Source organism: Homo sapiens, chromosome 18, assembly GCF_000001405.40.
Source record: "Homo sapiens chromosome 18, GRCh38.p14 Primary Assembly".
Lineage (NCBI taxonomy): Eukaryota > Metazoa > Chordata > Mammalia > Primates > Hominidae > Homo > Homo sapiens.
Genome location: NC_000018.10, coordinates 46,052,488 through 46,070,234, shown reverse-complemented (window position 1 = coordinate 46,070,234; position 17,747 = coordinate 46,052,488). Strand labels below are relative to the sequence as shown.

Genomic DNA, 17,747 nt, shown 5'->3' with positions numbered 1-17,747 from the left:
GGCTGGTGGAGATGGCCCCGCCCCTTGGGAAGATGTCCAGTTTTGAGAGCTTACCGAACAGCATGAAGCCTCTGAGGTGGGCTGCCCGGGCTTGAATCCAGTTCTGCCCCTTACTAGCTAGGTGACCCTGGGCAGCCTGCTTCCGCCCCCAAGCCTCAGTTTTTCCATACATAAAAATGGGGATAATAACAGTGTCTACTCCTTAGGACCGTTGGGAGGATTAAACTTGAGAGTTTAGTACAGTGCCTGACACACAGAGAGCACCTATAGTTGCCAGCTATTATTATCAGCAGTAGAGGTGACAAGTAAAAGAAGTGAGTGATGGTTATTCAAGGAGAAAGAATGAAGAGATCGGAAGTCCACAAAGAAGCACTCTTAGTGCATGCCTCTATTGATGGAGGAGGAGAAAGGGGACAGAGAAATAGAGGAAGAGATGAAGGGATACAACCAGGAAAGAGCTATCACAGGCCCAAGAGAGGGACATTCCAAGGAAGGTGAGAGGACTGTGGTCAAACGTGTTTGTACATGTTCCTGAAAAAGTATGAGTCAATACACACTTCATAAATGAATGTATTTAAATGCTTCATGAAAATATTTATTTAAAGAAATCTTCGATGAATCTGCTTCAAAAGGGAATAATCAGTGTTTAAAACTGGGCTTGGAGCTGGCGTGTGCCTGTAGTCCCAGCTACTAAGGAGGCTGGGCAACATAGTGAGACCCTGTCTCTAAAAATCATTTTAAAATAAATGAATAAAACTGGGATTGGCCCCCAATGAATTTGCCTGCTATTGGTACATACCTGTGTGTTGTTTCTCTCCCACCCTTCCCTGTTTATACCTTCTTTGTGGCACTTTGGTTAAGCAGTGCTGTATAATTTCTCTTGGTTAACTTTGATTGTATCTTGTCAGAATAAGACAGTGACCACAGTTTCCAAAGATCCAGGGAAACAGCCAGGCCACAATGAGAAAAAATTCCAGTTTTTGGGATGATCAGACACCAGTGTCCTTCAGATACGGGCATGCACGGGTGACAGTGGGACCCGTTTTGGAAGGGTAGATGAAAGCAGTGTTCTCTCACCCCTGGGGATTTCCAGGCTTCTCACTTGGGTGTGAGGTCCAAATCGTCCCTGAACCTCCTGTAGATACTTATTTTTCCTGGGCCTTCCTGATTCCCAAGGTTCTTGGTGTAGACCAGCTTCCTAGTTGCTGTTTCAGCAACCCTGTTCCTGTAGTGGGCAGGGCTTCTCTCTGCCTGGGATTGACTAGGGAAAGTCTTGGGGCTGTCTGAACTGGCTCATTGCCCTGCTGTCAACACAAGGCTGTCACTCTCATCCAAACCTTTTACCAGATTGGAATCTTGTCATTCTGGAGCCTTAGCAGAGTTTGAACTGATGTTGCCTCTGGCTTTGCTCAATGGTTTTTCTCTATACAGTCATCTCTTGGTATCTGTAGGGGATTGGTTCTAGGACTCCCATGCAGGTACCAAAATTCATGGACATTCAAGTCCTTTCTTTTCTTTTTTCTTTTTCAATACAGAGATTGGGTCTTGCTATGTTGGCCAGGCTGGTTTCAAACTCCTTGCCTCAAGCTATCCTCTTGCCTTGGCCTCCCAAAGTGCTGGGATAAGAGGTGTAAGCCGGCCGGGCATGGTGGCTCACACCTGTAATCCCAGCACTTTGGGAGGCTGAGACGGGTGGATCACGAGGTCAGGAGATCGAGACCATCTCGGCTAACACAGTGAAACCCCGTCTCTACTAAAAATACAAAAAAATTACCCGGGCATGGTGGTGGGCGCCTGTAGTCCCAGCTACTCAGGAGGCTGAGGCAGGAGAATGCTGTGAACTTGGGAGGTGGAGCTTGCAGTGAGCTGAGATCGTGCCATTGCACTCCAGCCTGGGCGACAGAGCGAGAATCTGTCTCAAAAAAAGAGGTGTAAGCCACTATGCCTGTCCTCAGATTCTTTCTATAAAATGGTGTAGTATTTACATATAACCTACACACATCTTCCTGTATACTTTAAGTATTCTCCAGATTGCTTATAATACCTAATATAATGTTAATGCTATGTAAATAGTTGTTTACACTGTATTTTTTATTTGTATTTTTTAATTGGTATATTTTTATTTTTTAATTTTTGGAATATTTTTCATCTGTGGTTGGTTGAATCCATGGATGCAGATATGGAGAACTGACTGTACAGTGCTCTAGATAAATATAGGAGGCTGCTTTAAAAAAAAAATACAGAAAGAATACAGGTTAACACCACAGAGTCTCCCTGCTGACCCCATAGTGTATTTTGTACAATGTTTAGATTGTTGCTGTAATTTTTAAATACTCTCTCGGATTTTATGAAAAGAAAAACTTCAGACTAGTTAAATTTAGCAGAGTTTATCTGAGCAAAGAAACTATTCATGAATCAGGCAGCACCCTGAACCAGTAAAGGTTCAGAGAGCTCCACAAGGCAAAAGTGGGCAGGCAATACTTACAGAAAAAAGAGGTGATACAGAAATAGCCTGATTGGTTACACCTGGGTGGTTGCCTTATTTGGACTTGACTGGGCAGTCTGCAGCCTGGGATTGGCTGAAAGCTCCCCTGTTATGATTGGCAGAGACCCAGCTACTTGTTACAAGAATATACTCTTAGTTAGGTTACGGTTTGTTTACACACTAAGTTAGGTTGTGGCTTGCTATTTATGGAGGCAGCTTTAGGCCAACATTTTTTTTTTTTTTTTTTGAGACAGAGTCTCGCCCTGTTGCCCAGGCTGGAGTCCAGTGGTGCGATCTCGGGTCACTGCAAGCTCTGCCTCCTGGGTTCACACCATTCTCCTGCCTCAGCCTCCTGAGTAGCTGGGACTACAGGGGCCCGCCACCACGCCCGGCTAATTTTTTTGTATTTTTAGTAGAGACGGGGTTTCACCGTGTTAGCCAGGATGGTCTCGATCTCCTGATCTCGTGATCCGCCCGCCTCGGCCTCCCAAAGTGCTGGGATTACAGGAGTGAGCCACTGCGCCCAGCCTAGGTCGAATTTAATTTGACAATCTGGTCCCCAGAAACACACCAGGAGGGCTGTTTCCTTTTGTCTTGCCTAGTGGCAAAAGGGAAGATAGAGTCATGAACAATTACCTGCTCTCCCATACATTCTTTGTAGAGCAGCCGGAGGGAGCTAGCTTTAAAATAATCGTCAAAAACCTCTTTTTTTTTTTTTTTTTGAGATGGAGTTTCACTTTTGTTGCCCAGGCTGGAGTGCAGTTGCGAGATCTCGGCTCACTGCAACCTCTGCCTCCCGGGTTCAAGCGATTCTTCTGCCTCAGCCTCCCGAGTAGCTGGGATTACAGGCATGCGCCACCACGCCCGGCTAATTTTTTGTATTTTTAGTAGAGACGGGGGTTTCACCAGGTTGGGCAGGCTGGTCTGGAACTCCTGACCTCAGGTGATTCGCCCGCCTGGGCAAAGTGCTGGGATTACAGGCGTGAGCCACCGCACCCGGCCTGTTCCACCCTTTTAAAGAAACTGTTCTGCTGTGACTGGCTGGTGGTCTTGCATGAGGAGAATATCATTAAGGACGGGCTCTGGCTTCTTTAGAAGCCCTATACTCAAGAAGGGGTGCAGCACAAAGCCCACACACGTGGGGCTCACCTTCTGGTGAGAGACCTTGTGACCAACGGAGAAAACACAGCAACTTGTTGAAGAGAGGAACTTCTTCTCCATTCCCCACGTAATCTCAGGCAGTTCAACTCAGCAAATGTCTATGTGAAGTCTGAGTGGCCAGCCTTGTGGTAGCTGCTGTGGGCTCACAGAGAGACAGACACACAACATCTCACCTCTAAGAGATTATTAGCTACTCAAGAAGATGAGTCTCAACATGAAATTTTAAAACAGTAGTTTTAATTTAATTAAATTATTTATTTTTGAGACAGGGTCTTGCTCTGTCACTCAGGCTAGAGTGCAGTGGTGCGATCACGGCTCACTGCAGCCTCAAACTCCTGGGCTCAAGCAATCCTCCCAAGTAGCTGGAACCGCAGGCACATGCCACCACGCCTGGTTAATTTTTGTATTTTTTGTAGAAACGCTGTTTCACCATATTGCCTAGGCTGGTCTCAAACTCCTGAGCTCAAGCAATCTGCCTGCCTTGGCCTCCCAAAATGCTGGGATTACAGGCATGAGCTACTGCACCTGGCCAATAGTTTTTAATATTAACATAAAATTAAGGTTATTAAAATATATATTATTAGTGATTTGGTACTTTCCCAACTTTTTTCCTCCATGCATAATTATAATCCTATAGTATCTGTACTATCTTGTATTCTACTGCTTTAATTAAAATATCGTAACTTTGGCTGGGCACAGTGGCTCATGCCTGTAATCCCAGCACTTTGGGAGGCCAAGGCGGGTGGATCACTTGAGATCAGGAGTTTGAGACCAGCCTGGCCAACATGGTGAAATCTCGTCTCTACTAAAGAAATACAAAAATTGGCCGGGCGCGGTGGCTTACGCCTGTAATCCCAGCACTTTCAGAGGCTGAGACAGGTGCATCACAAGGTCCGGAGTTCGAGACCAGCCTGGCCGATATGGTGAAACCCTGTCTCTACTAAAAATACAAAAATTAGCCGGGCGTGGTGGTGGGTGCCTGTAGTCCCAGCGACTCGGGAGGCTGAGGCAGGAGAATCACTTGAACCCGGGAGGCGGAGGTTGCAGTGAGCCAAGATCACACCACCATACTCCAGCCTGGGCAACAGAGTGAGACTCCGTCTCAAAACAAACAAACAACCGAAAACAAAAATTAGCCAGGCATGGTGGTGGGCACTTGTACTCAGCTACTTGGGAGGCTGAGACAGGAGAATCGTTTGAACCCAGGAGGCGGAGTTTGCAGTGAGCTGAGAGCATGCCACTGCACTCCAGCCTGGGCGACAGAGCCAGACTACATCTCAAAAAAAAAAAAAATTATAACTTATTTTATATATTGCTATCTACTTTCCCTAACAATTATTTAGAAAAGTTTTGTGAGTGATACAACTATTCTGTCACTGTTTGGCATTTATGTAATTTCTAGAGTTTTCTTTTCTTTTCTTTTCTTTTTTTTTTTTTTTTTTTTGAGACAGAGTTTCGTTCTTGTTGCCCATGCTGAAGTGCAATGGCACGACCTCGGCTCACTGTAACCTCCGCCTCCTGGGTTCAAGCAATTCTCCTGCCTCAGCCTCCCAAGTAGCTGGAATTACAGGCATGCACCACCATGCCTGGCTAATTTTGTATTTTTAGTAGAGATGAGGTTTTTCCATGTTGGTCAGGCTGGTCTTGAACCCCTGACCTCAGGTGATCTGCCTGTCTCAGCCTCCCAAAGTGCTGGGATTACAGGCATAAGCCACCGCACCCGGCCCAGTGTTTTCTATAATAAAGAATGTGGTGCATGTCATTCGTGTAAGGTATTTAAAATTGGGATTCTTTAAGTATCTATTTCTGGAAACTCAAGACAGAACTCATCATTGCCCAGCCATTTTACTATGTTTCTCTAATAAGTCACTCTTGCCCTTTCTGCAGTGATAATTTCATGCCTTTTCCACTCAAACCTACACATCCCTCCCACATTCTCACTGTGTTTTGGTGATCTTGCCTCTACTCCATTAAGAAACCAGACAGCAGGGCTGGGCGTGGTGGCTCATGCCTGTAATCCCAGCACTTTGGGAGGCCCAGGCGGGTGAATCACCTGAGGTCAGGAGTTGGAGACCAGGCTGGTCAACATGGTGAAACCCCGTCTTTACTTAAAAAAAAAAAAAAAAAAAAATTAGCCAGGTGTTGTGGTGGGTGCCTGTAGTCCCAGCTACTCGGGAGGCTGTGGCAGGAGAATCGCCTGGACTTGGGAGGGGGCGGTTGCAGTGAGCCAAGGTCACTCCGCTGCACTCCAGCCTGGGCAACAGAATGAGACTCTGTCTCAAAAAAAAAAAAAAAAAAAAAAAAAAGAAAGAAAAAGAAAGAAGAAAAAAAGAAAAGAAAAAAGAAACCAGAGCAGCTGGTGAAAGCTCACTTACCTTCTGTATAAATAGGATTCAGTTTGGCTGCAAGTAATAGAAAACCCCAAAACAACAGTGGCCTAGACAAGGAAGAGGTTTATTTCTCTCTCATCTACAAGCCCCTGATTGGTCATTCCAGGGCTGGCATGGCTGCCCTTGGGGTGAGGACCCACACTCCTGTCTGCTTACTCCAGTGGTGCCTGGTTCAATGCCTGGCACATGACAGATTCTCAGTAATACCTACTGAATGACTGAAAAAACCATTAACTAACAGAAGGACATTGAAAAACTTTTGATATGTAGAACCAGGATGATTTCCTAAAGAGTGGGCCTATTCTCAGTGTTCCCAATAGTATGTGCGGATGCTAGTTTCACTCTGTCAGTCATAGCTATTGTCTTTTTTTCTGCTCATTCAATAAGCAAAACTTGGTGCCTTATTCAACTTTCATTTGCGTTTTTATCACCAGGGAGAGTGCACATTTGGTTATTTTCTTGTAATTCCTCTTTTACAAATGGTTTTGTTTTCTTCCTCATGCTTTGCTTGTAAATTTATATGCATATTTTAAAATATATATTTTTGTATATATACACGTGTGTGTGTGTGTGTGTGTGTGTGTAATTCACATGTTCTAACATCCAGTATAGGCATGACACAGTGAGAGGCAGTCCTCAGGCCCTCAAGCTTTTGCACTGGACATTCCCGGGTTTGATTCCCAGTTTGGCTCCTTTCAAGCCAAAGAATGTGTGTGCCCGTGTTCAAATTATTCAGCTTTCCTCAGCTTTGCCTCCTCATCTGTAAAATGATATATGTATATGGATTTTGAAAACACTTTATACAGTCAAGTTTATTGATCTAAAGTTTTGTGATTTCTTCTATTACACTTCGAGGTTTTCTGTGGTCCAAGTTTTACTCAATATGTGTCTTATGATTGGGCGCTGTGGCTCATGCCTATAATCCTAGTACTTTGGGAGGCCGAGGTGGGACAATTGCTTGAGTCCAGGGGTTCAAGACCAGCCTGGGCAACATATTGAGACCCTGTCTCTACAAAAAAAATTTTAAAATTAGCAAGGCATGGTGGCCAGTACCTGCAGTCCCAGATAATCAGGAGGCTGAGGCAGAAGGATCACTTGAGTCCATGCGGTTGAAGCTGCAGCGAGCCGTGATTACACCACTGCACTGCAACCTGGATGACAGAGCAAGACGCTGTCTCACTAAAAATACTGTCTTTTGAGTATGAGGGCTTAAGTGTTCTGACATTTGCAGAAGTCAGAGACCTGTGTGGACCTGCAAAATGAGGAGGAGGTGGATTCCTGCCCTCAGGGTCCTACATTCTTCTTAAGGAAGCAAACAAAGATGTAGGACACTAATGGGAAACAGACTGACCTACTCTCCTTCAGGCTAAAAAGAGTGGTTTACCTGCCGGGATGGTGGCTCCTGCCTGTAATCCCAGCACTTTGGGAGGCCAAGGCAGGTGGATCACGAGGTCAGGAGATTGAGACCTTCCTGGCTAACACGGTGAAACCCCGTCTCTACTAAAAGTAGAAAAAAATTAGCCAGGTGTGGTGGCATGTGCCTGTAGTCCCAGCTACTCAGGAGGAGAATTGCTTGAACCTGGGAGGCAGAGGTTGCAGTGAGCCGAGACTGCACCACTGCACTCCAGCCTGGGTGACAGAGCGAGACTCCGTCTCCAAAAAAAAAAAAGTGGTTTACTGGGGCAAGTTTCTTTTTCTTTTTCTTTTTCTTTTTCTTTTTAGTAGAGATGGGGTTTCACCATGTTGGCCAGGCTGGTCTTGAACTCCTGACCTCACATGATCCACCCACCTCGGCCTCCTAAAGTGCTGGGATTACAGGCATGAGCCACCATGCCTAGCATACCAGGGCAAGATTCTTGGACAAGTCTGGCTGGGTGAGTGCGATAGGGTACCACTCCTTGAAGAGTGCTAAAATGGCACCAGGCATGCAACAAGATGGGGAAATCTTTGTTTTCAGAATACCTCTCAGGGAGGGGATGGTGTGGCACAAGGCTGGAAGGCTGGAAGGAAGACTTGAATAAGCTGTTCAGGGTAGGGAGACTGAGACCCCATCCCTATCTGAAGCACATGCCTTCTAAAGGGCAGGAGCCTAACTAACTTCTGAGCTTAGTTTTGCTGAGTGAGGCATGCAAGCTGAACTGCCAGAGAAAGCAGTCTCCATGGTGTGTCCTCTTTACACTTGCCCTATAGTGCTTGGTCTCTGCTTCTATTTGAATGTTACTATTGAAAGAATAGCTGTTGGAAGTGATAGTTTCATAAGTGGCCACAAATATTCGAAAACCCTAGAAATATGGGCATCTAAGTCCCTTCACTGCTTCAAACCTTGGTGGCCCCACCTCTTGTAATCTGCTCTGAGCCCTTATTATCAAATACAGATATTGTTTTCTCTGTCCCAGGAGATCCAGATCCTGCCCTACAAGGACTGAACTAGGGGTTCAAAAAGACCTAAGCTCTCAGGAATAAAAAGTATTGACTCAGGCCTTTGTCAGCACTTCCGCAGATGGCCAGATCTGGGCACTGTTGATTTGTCCTGTGGGCTGTCTGTCCCAAGCTCAGGTTTCCTCATCTACCTGTCCTATGTTAGGGCCTAACTATTTAATCAGCGTTCTTGTCTAGTTCCTGCCCATAAGAGTGGTTGACCTTTACTGTGACCAACCACAGCCCAGAGCCACTATCTTGGCTGGCAGGCCTCTCCCTGGCTGATACAGACTGGTATTGCTTTTCCCTGGGCAGCATGGGCAGGAAGTTTGTGGATAAGGGACCTTGATGCTCCTGCCAGGTCCTCCGAATCTCCATCTCATCTGCTTCCTTTGACTTAGAGCTATTGTTTCTCAGTGCGAAGCAGCCTCATTTTGGTCATGAACTTCATATATGATTTTTTTTTTTTTTTTTGGTGAAATGGAGTCTCGCTCCGTTGACCAGGCTGGAGTGCAGTGGTGCAATCTTGGCTCAGTGCAACCTCCGCCTCCCAGGTTCAAACGATTCTCCTGCCTCAGCCTCCTGAGTAGCTGGGATTACAGGCACGCACCACCATGCCTAGCTAATTGTTGTATTTTTAGTAGGGATGGGATTTCACCATGTTGGCCAGGTTGCTCTTGAACTCCTGACCTCAAGTGATCTGCCCATCTCGGCCTCCCGAAGTGCCGGGATTATAGGTGTGAGCTACCACACCCAGCCTCCTGTATGATTTTTTATTAATGTGCATCTATTGGTGCATTCCCTCTTATCTGCCAACCACTGACCATTTCATCTCTGCTGTTTTATACGTGTCATTGTCAATTAGTAATGTAATATTGATGTCAAGGATAGAGTACTATAGAGTACAAGGCACCTGCCTGTGAGCACATGGCCCTTCCCTGCAGAAACTAAGCAGAAAAGCCCAAGGCCAAAGGGCTCAGCAAGTTATTGTAGAAGCCTGTCTGCTCTCAGAGGGCAAAGAAACCAGTCCTCTGGGCGGAGCCTCACATGGGGAAGCTGGAAGCCTGGAAAGACCAGCACCCTCCCCTGCCATGTAAAGTTTGAGTGTACAAAGACTGCAGCCATTTAGAGGGAATTGTGATTGATTCTGAGAGAACAGAAAATGGAGAGGGCAAGGCCACCAGCCAATGGCAGCCACAGCTCTCCTACCTTTATTAGGAGTCATTTGGGGTCTACACGCTATTGTACTCAGACTAAATGAGTGACTTGTCCAGTGCCACCCAGCTAACCACTCTGGACTTGAGCTTCCTGTTGTGCAGTGAGGATAATGATATCTGGCAAGCCCAATTTTAGGACTACAATGTGTTTCAAATGATAAAGTACGTCATAGTTGTGTTAAGGAGGTGGAATTGTGGGTAATGTGTTAGTATATCCACAGACTAGTTTCTTTGCAGTTAAATTAATTTTTAAAAATTTAGATAATGAATGAAAATGATGAGTGGAAATCACTTTCAAAAATTTAAGGAATTGCAGTGAAATACCATAGTGAAATAGAGTCCCTAATCACTAAAAATTATGATTTAAAACAAGCACCAGGAAAGATATTTGAAATATAATAATATTATAAAGATATTTAAATGACGATTTAAAACAAACACCAGGAAAGACACTTGTAATATTAAGTTTAAAAGAAAGTTATTAAACAATTTGGAAAACAAGACCTCATTTTAATTTTATTTATTTATTTTTGAGACGGAGTTTCACTCTTGTTGCCCAGTCTGGAGTACAATGGTGCAATCTCAGCTCACTGCAACCTCTGCCTCCCCGGTTCAAGCAATTCTTCTGTCTCAGCCTCCCTAGTGGCTGGGATTACAGGCATGTGCCACCACGCCCGGGTAATTTTTTTTGTATTTTTATTAGAGACGGGGTTTCACCATGTTGGTCAGGCTGTCTCAAACTCCTGACCTCAGGTGATCCACCCGCCTTGGCCTCCCAAAGTGCTGGTATTGCAGGTGTGAGCCACCACGCCCAGCCTAGACCTCATTTTTATTAAACAAAAAATGAAGACAGTCATATGTCACTAGGAAAATATATGAGGATTACATAGCAAATATCAACTATTGTTTTCTCTGGAATTTTAGACACTTTGAAAAATATTATTTTCTTTTTTTTAATCTATACTTAAAAATTTTCAACAATAAAATAAGTATAACTTTTAAAATAAAGAAATAAGACCAGGCGCGGTGGCTCACGCCTGTAATCCCAGCACTTTGGGAAGCTGAGGCAGGCAGATCACTTGAGGTCAGGAGTTCCAGACCAGCCTGGCCAACAAGGTGAAACCATGTGTTTACTAAAAATACAAAAGTTAGCTGGGCGTGGTAGCAGGCACCTGTAATCCTAGCTACTTGGTAGGCTGAGGCAGGAGAATCACTTGACCCTGGAAGGCAGAGGTTGCAGTGAGCTGAGATCGTGCCACTCCATCCAGCCTGGGTGACAGAGTGAGACTCTGTCTTAAATTAAAAAAAAGACCTGCCTGGCCATCACGTTGAAACACTGTCTCCATTAAAAATATGAAAATTAGCTGGGCATGGTCGTGCGTGCCTGTAATCCCTGCTACTCAGGAGGCTGAGGCAGAAGAATCACTTGAACCTGGGAGGCGGAGGTTGCAGCGAGCCAAGATCGCACCATTGCACTCCAGCCTGGGCGACAGAGGGAGACCCTATCTCACAAAAAAAAAAGAAAAAGAAAAAAAGAAAAAAAAAGAATTAAGAGGATTTCCCCCTAAAGTATTAAAAGAAGAGCAAGTATACTTGTTCAGACCATAGAATACAAAAAATACCAAACCTGCAACTTGTACCCAAACCCAGATGGAAGTGGACCAGCCTCCCAGGCAGTGTCCAGGGTCCTAGGTCCTGGCCACCTGCCTGTGGCAAGGCCACAACCATTCCCTTGAGGACACAGAGGGTCCCACCCCGCTGGTGACAGGACCTGCCTAATGACAATTATCTTGCAGCGAGACCTCTCCTCAGCACCCCTGCCTTTAAGCAGAGAGAACCGCCTATGGATTCCATGAGCTATTTATTTTTCATTTTTATTGGTACCTTAAAAAACTAGGAATGTAGGGCCAGGTGCAGTGGCTCATGCATGTAATCCCAGCATTTTGGGAGGCCAAGGTGGGTGGATCACGAGGTCAGGAGTTTGAGACCAGCCTGGCCAACACGGTGAAACCCCGTCTCTACTACAAATACAAAAAATAAATAGCTGGGTGTGGTGGCGCACCCCTGTAGTCCCAGCTACTCAGGAGCCTGAGGCAGGAGAGTTGCTTGAACCCGGGAGGAGGAGGTGGCGCTGAGCCGAGATCGTGCTACTACACTCCAGCCTGGGCGACAGAGTGATACTCTGTCTCAAAAAAACAAAAAACAAAAAAAAACTAGGAATATAACACATGCTTATTGTAAAATATCAAAACAATACAGATGTATATGGAGTAAAAAACCATAAAAATCCCTCCCTTAGCCTTCAAATCCCAACCTCCAGGGGTAAATTACTCATAGAGGATCTTTTCAGAGTCTTTTCCAGGAGTCTCCCATCCTATACAGGTAGGCAAGTGTAATTGTCTACATGAGATGTTGAAGAAGTGTACTTATTATCATGCTAAGGAATGGCAGGTTAGCAAGCCATCTCTTCCTCTGACCCAGAGTTTTGTATTTTTTAAAAAACATAAAAGTAGAAATTTTACCTGGTTTTTAAGATTATGGGTGATTTTTTTTTTTTTTTTTTTTTGAGACGGAGTCTCACTCTGTCACCCAGGCTGGAGTGCAGTGGTGCGATCTCCGCTCACTGCAAGCTCCGCCTCCCGGGTTCACGCCATTCTCCTGCCTCAGCCTCCCGAGTAGCTGGGACTACAGGCGCCCGCCACCACGCCCGGCTAATTTTTTGTATTTTTTAGTAGAGACGGGGTTTCACCGTGTTAGCCAGGATGGTCTTGATCTCCTGACCTCACGATCCGCCTGCCTCGGCCTCCCAAAGTGCTGGGATTACAGGTGTGAGCCACCACGCCTGGCCTATGGGTGGTTTTTGATTTTTCTTTTTTGCTAATGTGTTCATCATAGAACAATGAGATATTCTGTAAATTAAGAAAAAATAGTTTTGGGCAGGCACAGTGGGGCACGCCTGTAATCCCAGTGCTTTGGGAGATGGAGGTGGGTGGATCACCTGAGGTCAGGAGTTTGAGACCAGCCTGGCCAACGTGGTGAAATCCCATCTCTACTAAAAATACAAAACAATTAGACAGGCGTGGTGGCGCTCGCCTGTAATCCTAGCTACTCTGGAGGCTGAGGCAGAAGAATCGCTTGAACCTGGGAGGTGGAGGTTGCAGTGAGCTGAGACTGCGCCATTGTACTCCAGCCTGGGTGACGACAGTGAAACTCTGCCTCAAAAAAAAAAAGAAAAAGAAAAGAAAAAATAGTTTTAAATGTCTCCCAAGAAAGGTGGTGGTTAAGTCATGTGCACCTTCATGTGACCAAGCAATCTTTTCTCTGAGGGAGGCCCCTGTGGAGGGAGGGAGGGGTCTCTGCTGAGTGGGACGCAGGCAGAGCCAGGGCTAGGCTGAGGCACTTGCCTTGCACGTAAAATTTAAGGGGGAGCCAAAAAAACCCTCAGTAGTTTTTTTCCTTTGAGATGGAGTCTTGTTCTGTCGCCCAGGCTGGAGTGCAATGCCCTGATCTCGGCTCACTGCAACCTCCGCCTCCCCGGTTCAAGCAGTTCTCCTGCCTCAGCCTCCCAAGTAGCTGGGATTACAGGTACCCACCACTGCACCCAGCTAATTTTTTTGTATTTTTAGTAGAGATGGAGTTTCACCATGTTGGCCAGGCTGGTCTTGAACTCCTGACCTCAAGTGATCTGCCCACCTTGGCCTCCCAAAGTGCTGGAATTACAGGTGTGAGCCACCGCATCTGGCCAAGATAAATTATTCTTTAATGTAATATTTTAAAAAAACAAAGTTAATGAGAAAAACCCTTCCAGGAACAAAATATCAAAACTTTATTTCTTTAGAGACAGGGTCTCACTCTTCTGCCCAGGCTGGAGTGCAGTGGTGCAACCATACCTCACTGCAGCTTTGAACTCTTTGGCTCAAGTGAGCCTCCTGCCTCAGCCCCCGGAGTAGCTGGGACCACAGGTGTGCACCACCATGCTCTGCTATTTTAAAAATTTCTTGTAGAGACAGAGTCTTGCTGTGTGGCCCAGACTAGTCTCAAACTCCTGGTCTCAAACTCCTGGCCCAAGCGATCCTCCCACCTTGGCCTCCCAAAGCACTAGGATTACAGGCATGAGCAACCACGCCTGGCCCCTCAAAATTGTAAAGAAAGACAGAATTGAACCCTGCACATGCACGACCATGCCTCATCCTAGTAGGGGCCCTGGAGGAGGGTGACGTTTTGGACCAATGAGTACTTTAAGGAAGCACAGGGCACAACAGAGGGAAGCATGGATTTGGGGTGGGCAGGGAAAGCCTGGAGAGGGGAGTTGGAGAACATAAGTGATGATCCATTTTGCAAAGGGAATTCCTACAGACTCCCAGACCAGCTAAGGGATCTACATTGCCGAGGGACCACCTGGACATAAGAAGCGAAGCCAGCACAGATTCCCCATCATCCCAGCCCCTGCAGGGCTGTGGAGCTGTGGGGAGCCCATCTCTGCTGTAGAGAGAGAAGGGAGAGGGCAAGTTTGTGCTTGGGGCTCCTATAGAAGCTGTCCTAGTGAGAAAATGCACCTGCAGTTCAGTTAGGTACTTACTAAACAAGAAAGATACAGTCTAAAAATACTCGGTTTTCCCGTGGAGTAGAAGCTTGTTTGCCTGCTTTCTCTACCTTTATTTTCCTAATCCTCTTTTAAAAGTGATTTTTCCAGTAGACAAATGAGAGTCTAAAAGTAAATTGTAAAAATATGGAGAACTTTTATACTTTACTACTAATAAAAAAGTCCAAATTGTACAGTTTTGCTTTTAGCAAGTTTTAAAAAGTATATCAAGTGTCAGTATCTTTCACTGGGGGAAGGTGCAGGAAATGAGCATTTAGTCATTGCGGGTAAGCTGTTAGAGTTATTTTGGAGAGGATTTGGCTGTGTGCATTATTAGCCTTAACAATCACAAATGTTGGCACTGGCTGGGCACAGTGGCTCATGCCTGTAACCCTAGCACTTTGGGAGGCCGAGGCAGGCAGCTCGCTTGAGCCTAGGAGTTTGAGACCAACCTGGGCAACATCATGAAACCTCAACGAAAAAAATACAAAATATTAGCTGGGCATGGTGGCATGTGCCTGCAGTCCCAGCTACTGGGGTGGCAGAGGTGGGAGGATCACTTGAGCCCAATGCAGTGAGCTGTGATGACATCACTGCACTCCAGCCTGGGTAGCAGAGTGAGACTATACAAAGTACAAATTAACTATTAATAATTCCAGGGATTAGGATTTGGACATCTTTGGGAGAGGGTGTCACTATCTACCTACCACATTAGGTGATTGGAGGGAGAGGCACTGGATGTGTATGAGGGACAGAGGGACCATAGAGGACTTCTCCATGGAGATGACATTTGAATTGAGATGTGGTAAGGTCAAGCTAGCCTTCTGGATGTCAGGGGAAAGGGGAGAGATAACAGTGAGGCTGGAAAGGATCAGTTAGAGGAACAGAAAGACCAGTGCGACTTTAGTAGGAAGCAGGAACTGGCCAAATTGCTGAAAATCAGTTGACAAGAGCCAATTTGCTGATACGATCAAGTCACTAAAAACTAGTTTCTGTTAATTACCTACAAAGCTAAAATATGCTGTTGCCTCATTTTCAACAATTTTTAAAAATTAGTAGGTTTTTGGGAGGCTGAGGCGGGTGGATAACGAGGTCAGGAGTTTGAGACCAGCTTGACCAACGGTAAAGCCCCGTTTCTACTAAAAATACAAAAATTAGCTGGGCGTGGTGGCACGTGCCTGTAATCCTAGATACTCAGGAGGCTGAGGCAGGAGAATCATTTGAACCCAGGAGGCAGAGGTTGCAGTGAGCCAAGATCGCGCCACTGCACTCCAACCTGGGCGACAGAGCAAGACTCTGTCTCAAAAAAAAAAAAAAATTAGTAGGTTTTATTATTTAGAGCGGTTTTAGGTTTACAGAAAACTTGAACTCAAGCCCAGATTTCCCATCCGTTCTCCCTATTTTTCCTATTATTAACATCTTGCATTAATGTGGTATATTTGTTACAATTATGCACCAGTATGTATACATTATTATTCACTGAAGCTCATGGTTTATATTAGGTGTAGCTCTTTGTGTCCCATGGGTTTTGACAAATGAATAATGTCATATATCCACAATTATTGTATCATACAGAGTAGTTTCTCTGCCTTAAAATTCCCCTGTGCTCCACTTTTTCATCCATCACTCTTCCTTAAACCCCTGGCAACCAATGATCTTTTTACAATCTCTATAGTTTTGCCTTTTCTAGAATGTCATATGTAGACATGGGCCACATAATGACGTTTTGGTCAACAAGAGACTGCATATATGATGGTGGTCCCATAAAATAATAATGGAGTTGCTTTATACAGATGTACCATTTAAAAACATCCTCTGTACAAGTATTTTTACTATACCATTTCTGTTTGATATGTTTAGATACATAATACTCACCAGTGTGAGTATTGCCTACAATATTCAACACAGTGACATGCCGTACAGGTTTGTAGCCTAGGAGCAATAGGCCATACCATATAGCCTCACTGTGTAGTAGGCTACACCATCTAGGTTTGTGTAACTACACTCTGTGATGTTCAAATAATGACAGAATCACCTAATGATGCATTTCTTACAACGTATCCCCATTGTTGAGTGACATATGATTGTAGTTGGAGTCATACAGTGTGTAGCCTTTTCAGACTGGCTTCTTTTACTTAGCGCTATGCATTTAAGATCCCCTCATGTCTTCTTGTGGCTTGATAGCTCATTTCTTCTTATCATTGATTAATGTTCCATTGTATGGATGTAGCAGTTTATCCACTCACCTATTGAAGGATCTTGGTCGCTTCCAATTTTTGGCAATTATGACTACAGCTTCTATAAACATTTGTGTGCAAGTTTGTGTGGGTATAAGTTTTCAACTCAATTTAGTTGAGGTTTAGTTTCAATGAATCAGACTTAATGGTCTGGCTGAATTGAATGTCATTTTCACATGTGTTTCACATCAAGATGTTTGCATACTCTGCTGTGCTGAAAACTCATGTAAGATGTTCATTAGATCAAGCTGGGTAAAAAATCAGCAAGTTAGAGGAGGAGAAAAGGCATTGGACTTCGATGAACATGTACTGAAAGAAACACTTCCTGTAAGTCGCTTCTAAAATCCTAACATTTAAGACTTGCTTAATTCTGAAATTTGAATATATAAAACATCCTCACTCCCATAAGTTATGGACCTGAAGTAAACTGAACTTGGGCTGGCCTCAGTGAAATGGCAGTAGTGAAGTTAGAAATAAGCTTAATCTAAAACTTAATTTAAATGAAAACTTTGGAAAAAAACCTCAAGGACAACACAAAATGTCAGTTTTATAAATAGCAAGTAGAAACAAGAGTCACATATTTCAAGGATTGGAGAAGGCTGACCCACTGAGACATGGAAGGTGAAAAGTTCTTGGAATAAACAATGGACACTGGTGTTACTTATCGGAGGCAAAGTTAATCAGTCTGATGTGTAAACTTGGAGATTACTTTTTTGTATTTATGTATTTTTGTTCATATGAAGAGTCTAAAGATTTTGGTCAACTTGCAATCTATGCTTGTTTGTTTTTTCATTTGTAAAAAGATGGAAATTAATGATATGATTGATCTCCAAGATGTACTCTACCTCTGATATCCTAGCACTCTAAAACTAGAGCACTGTAGGAAAGTAAATAGACTCTTTGATTACTTAGAACATTTAGGAGATGGGATAATCTTAGTAATTGTACCTTCTGATTCATCGATAATGAACACTGATTCATTTCTGGTTCAAAAAGTATTAGAAACTGTAAATCTACTTTTGTCTGGGAAAATCCAAGTGTGAAGAACAGAAGGGAATTTGTTTTGGAGGATTCTTTCAATTATGCTTTGGGATTTGAAGATGGATAAGATGGGAGAAACTGAATGGGAATGAATGCACTGAGGTCAGGTTTTACCTTAGAAAAAGTTTTTTTTTTTAAATTAACATTAAACATTTTCTATTAACTTGCAATTTCTTGGGATAAAGAGGTAAGCCAAGGTTCCCCAGTTAGCAGCTG

General features: G+C 44.4%; 1 protein-coding gene across 1 annotated transcript in view, besides 2 other annotated features; it reads left to right on the top strand.

The window, feature by feature from the left end:
• Positions 1-17,747, top strand: part of PSTPIP2 (proline-serine-threonine phosphatase interacting protein 2) — an 88,725-nt gene that overhangs the window by 2,026 nt on the left and 68,952 nt on the right. The gene's annotated exons all lie outside the window — the stretch shown is intronic.
• Positions 6,185-6,384: an enhancer, noted in NCBI's record as "active region_13266". NCBI's record gives its function as "activates an Ori minimal core promoter by ATAC-STARR-seq in GM12878 lymphoblastoid cells {active_cell/tissue: GM12878}" and the evidence as "EXISTENCE:reporter gene assay evidence [ECO:0000049][PMID:35858748]".
• Positions 6,445-6,494: an enhancer, noted in NCBI's record as "active region_13265". NCBI's record gives its function as "activates an Ori minimal core promoter by ATAC-STARR-seq in GM12878 lymphoblastoid cells {active_cell/tissue: GM12878}" and the evidence as "EXISTENCE:reporter gene assay evidence [ECO:0000049][PMID:35858748]".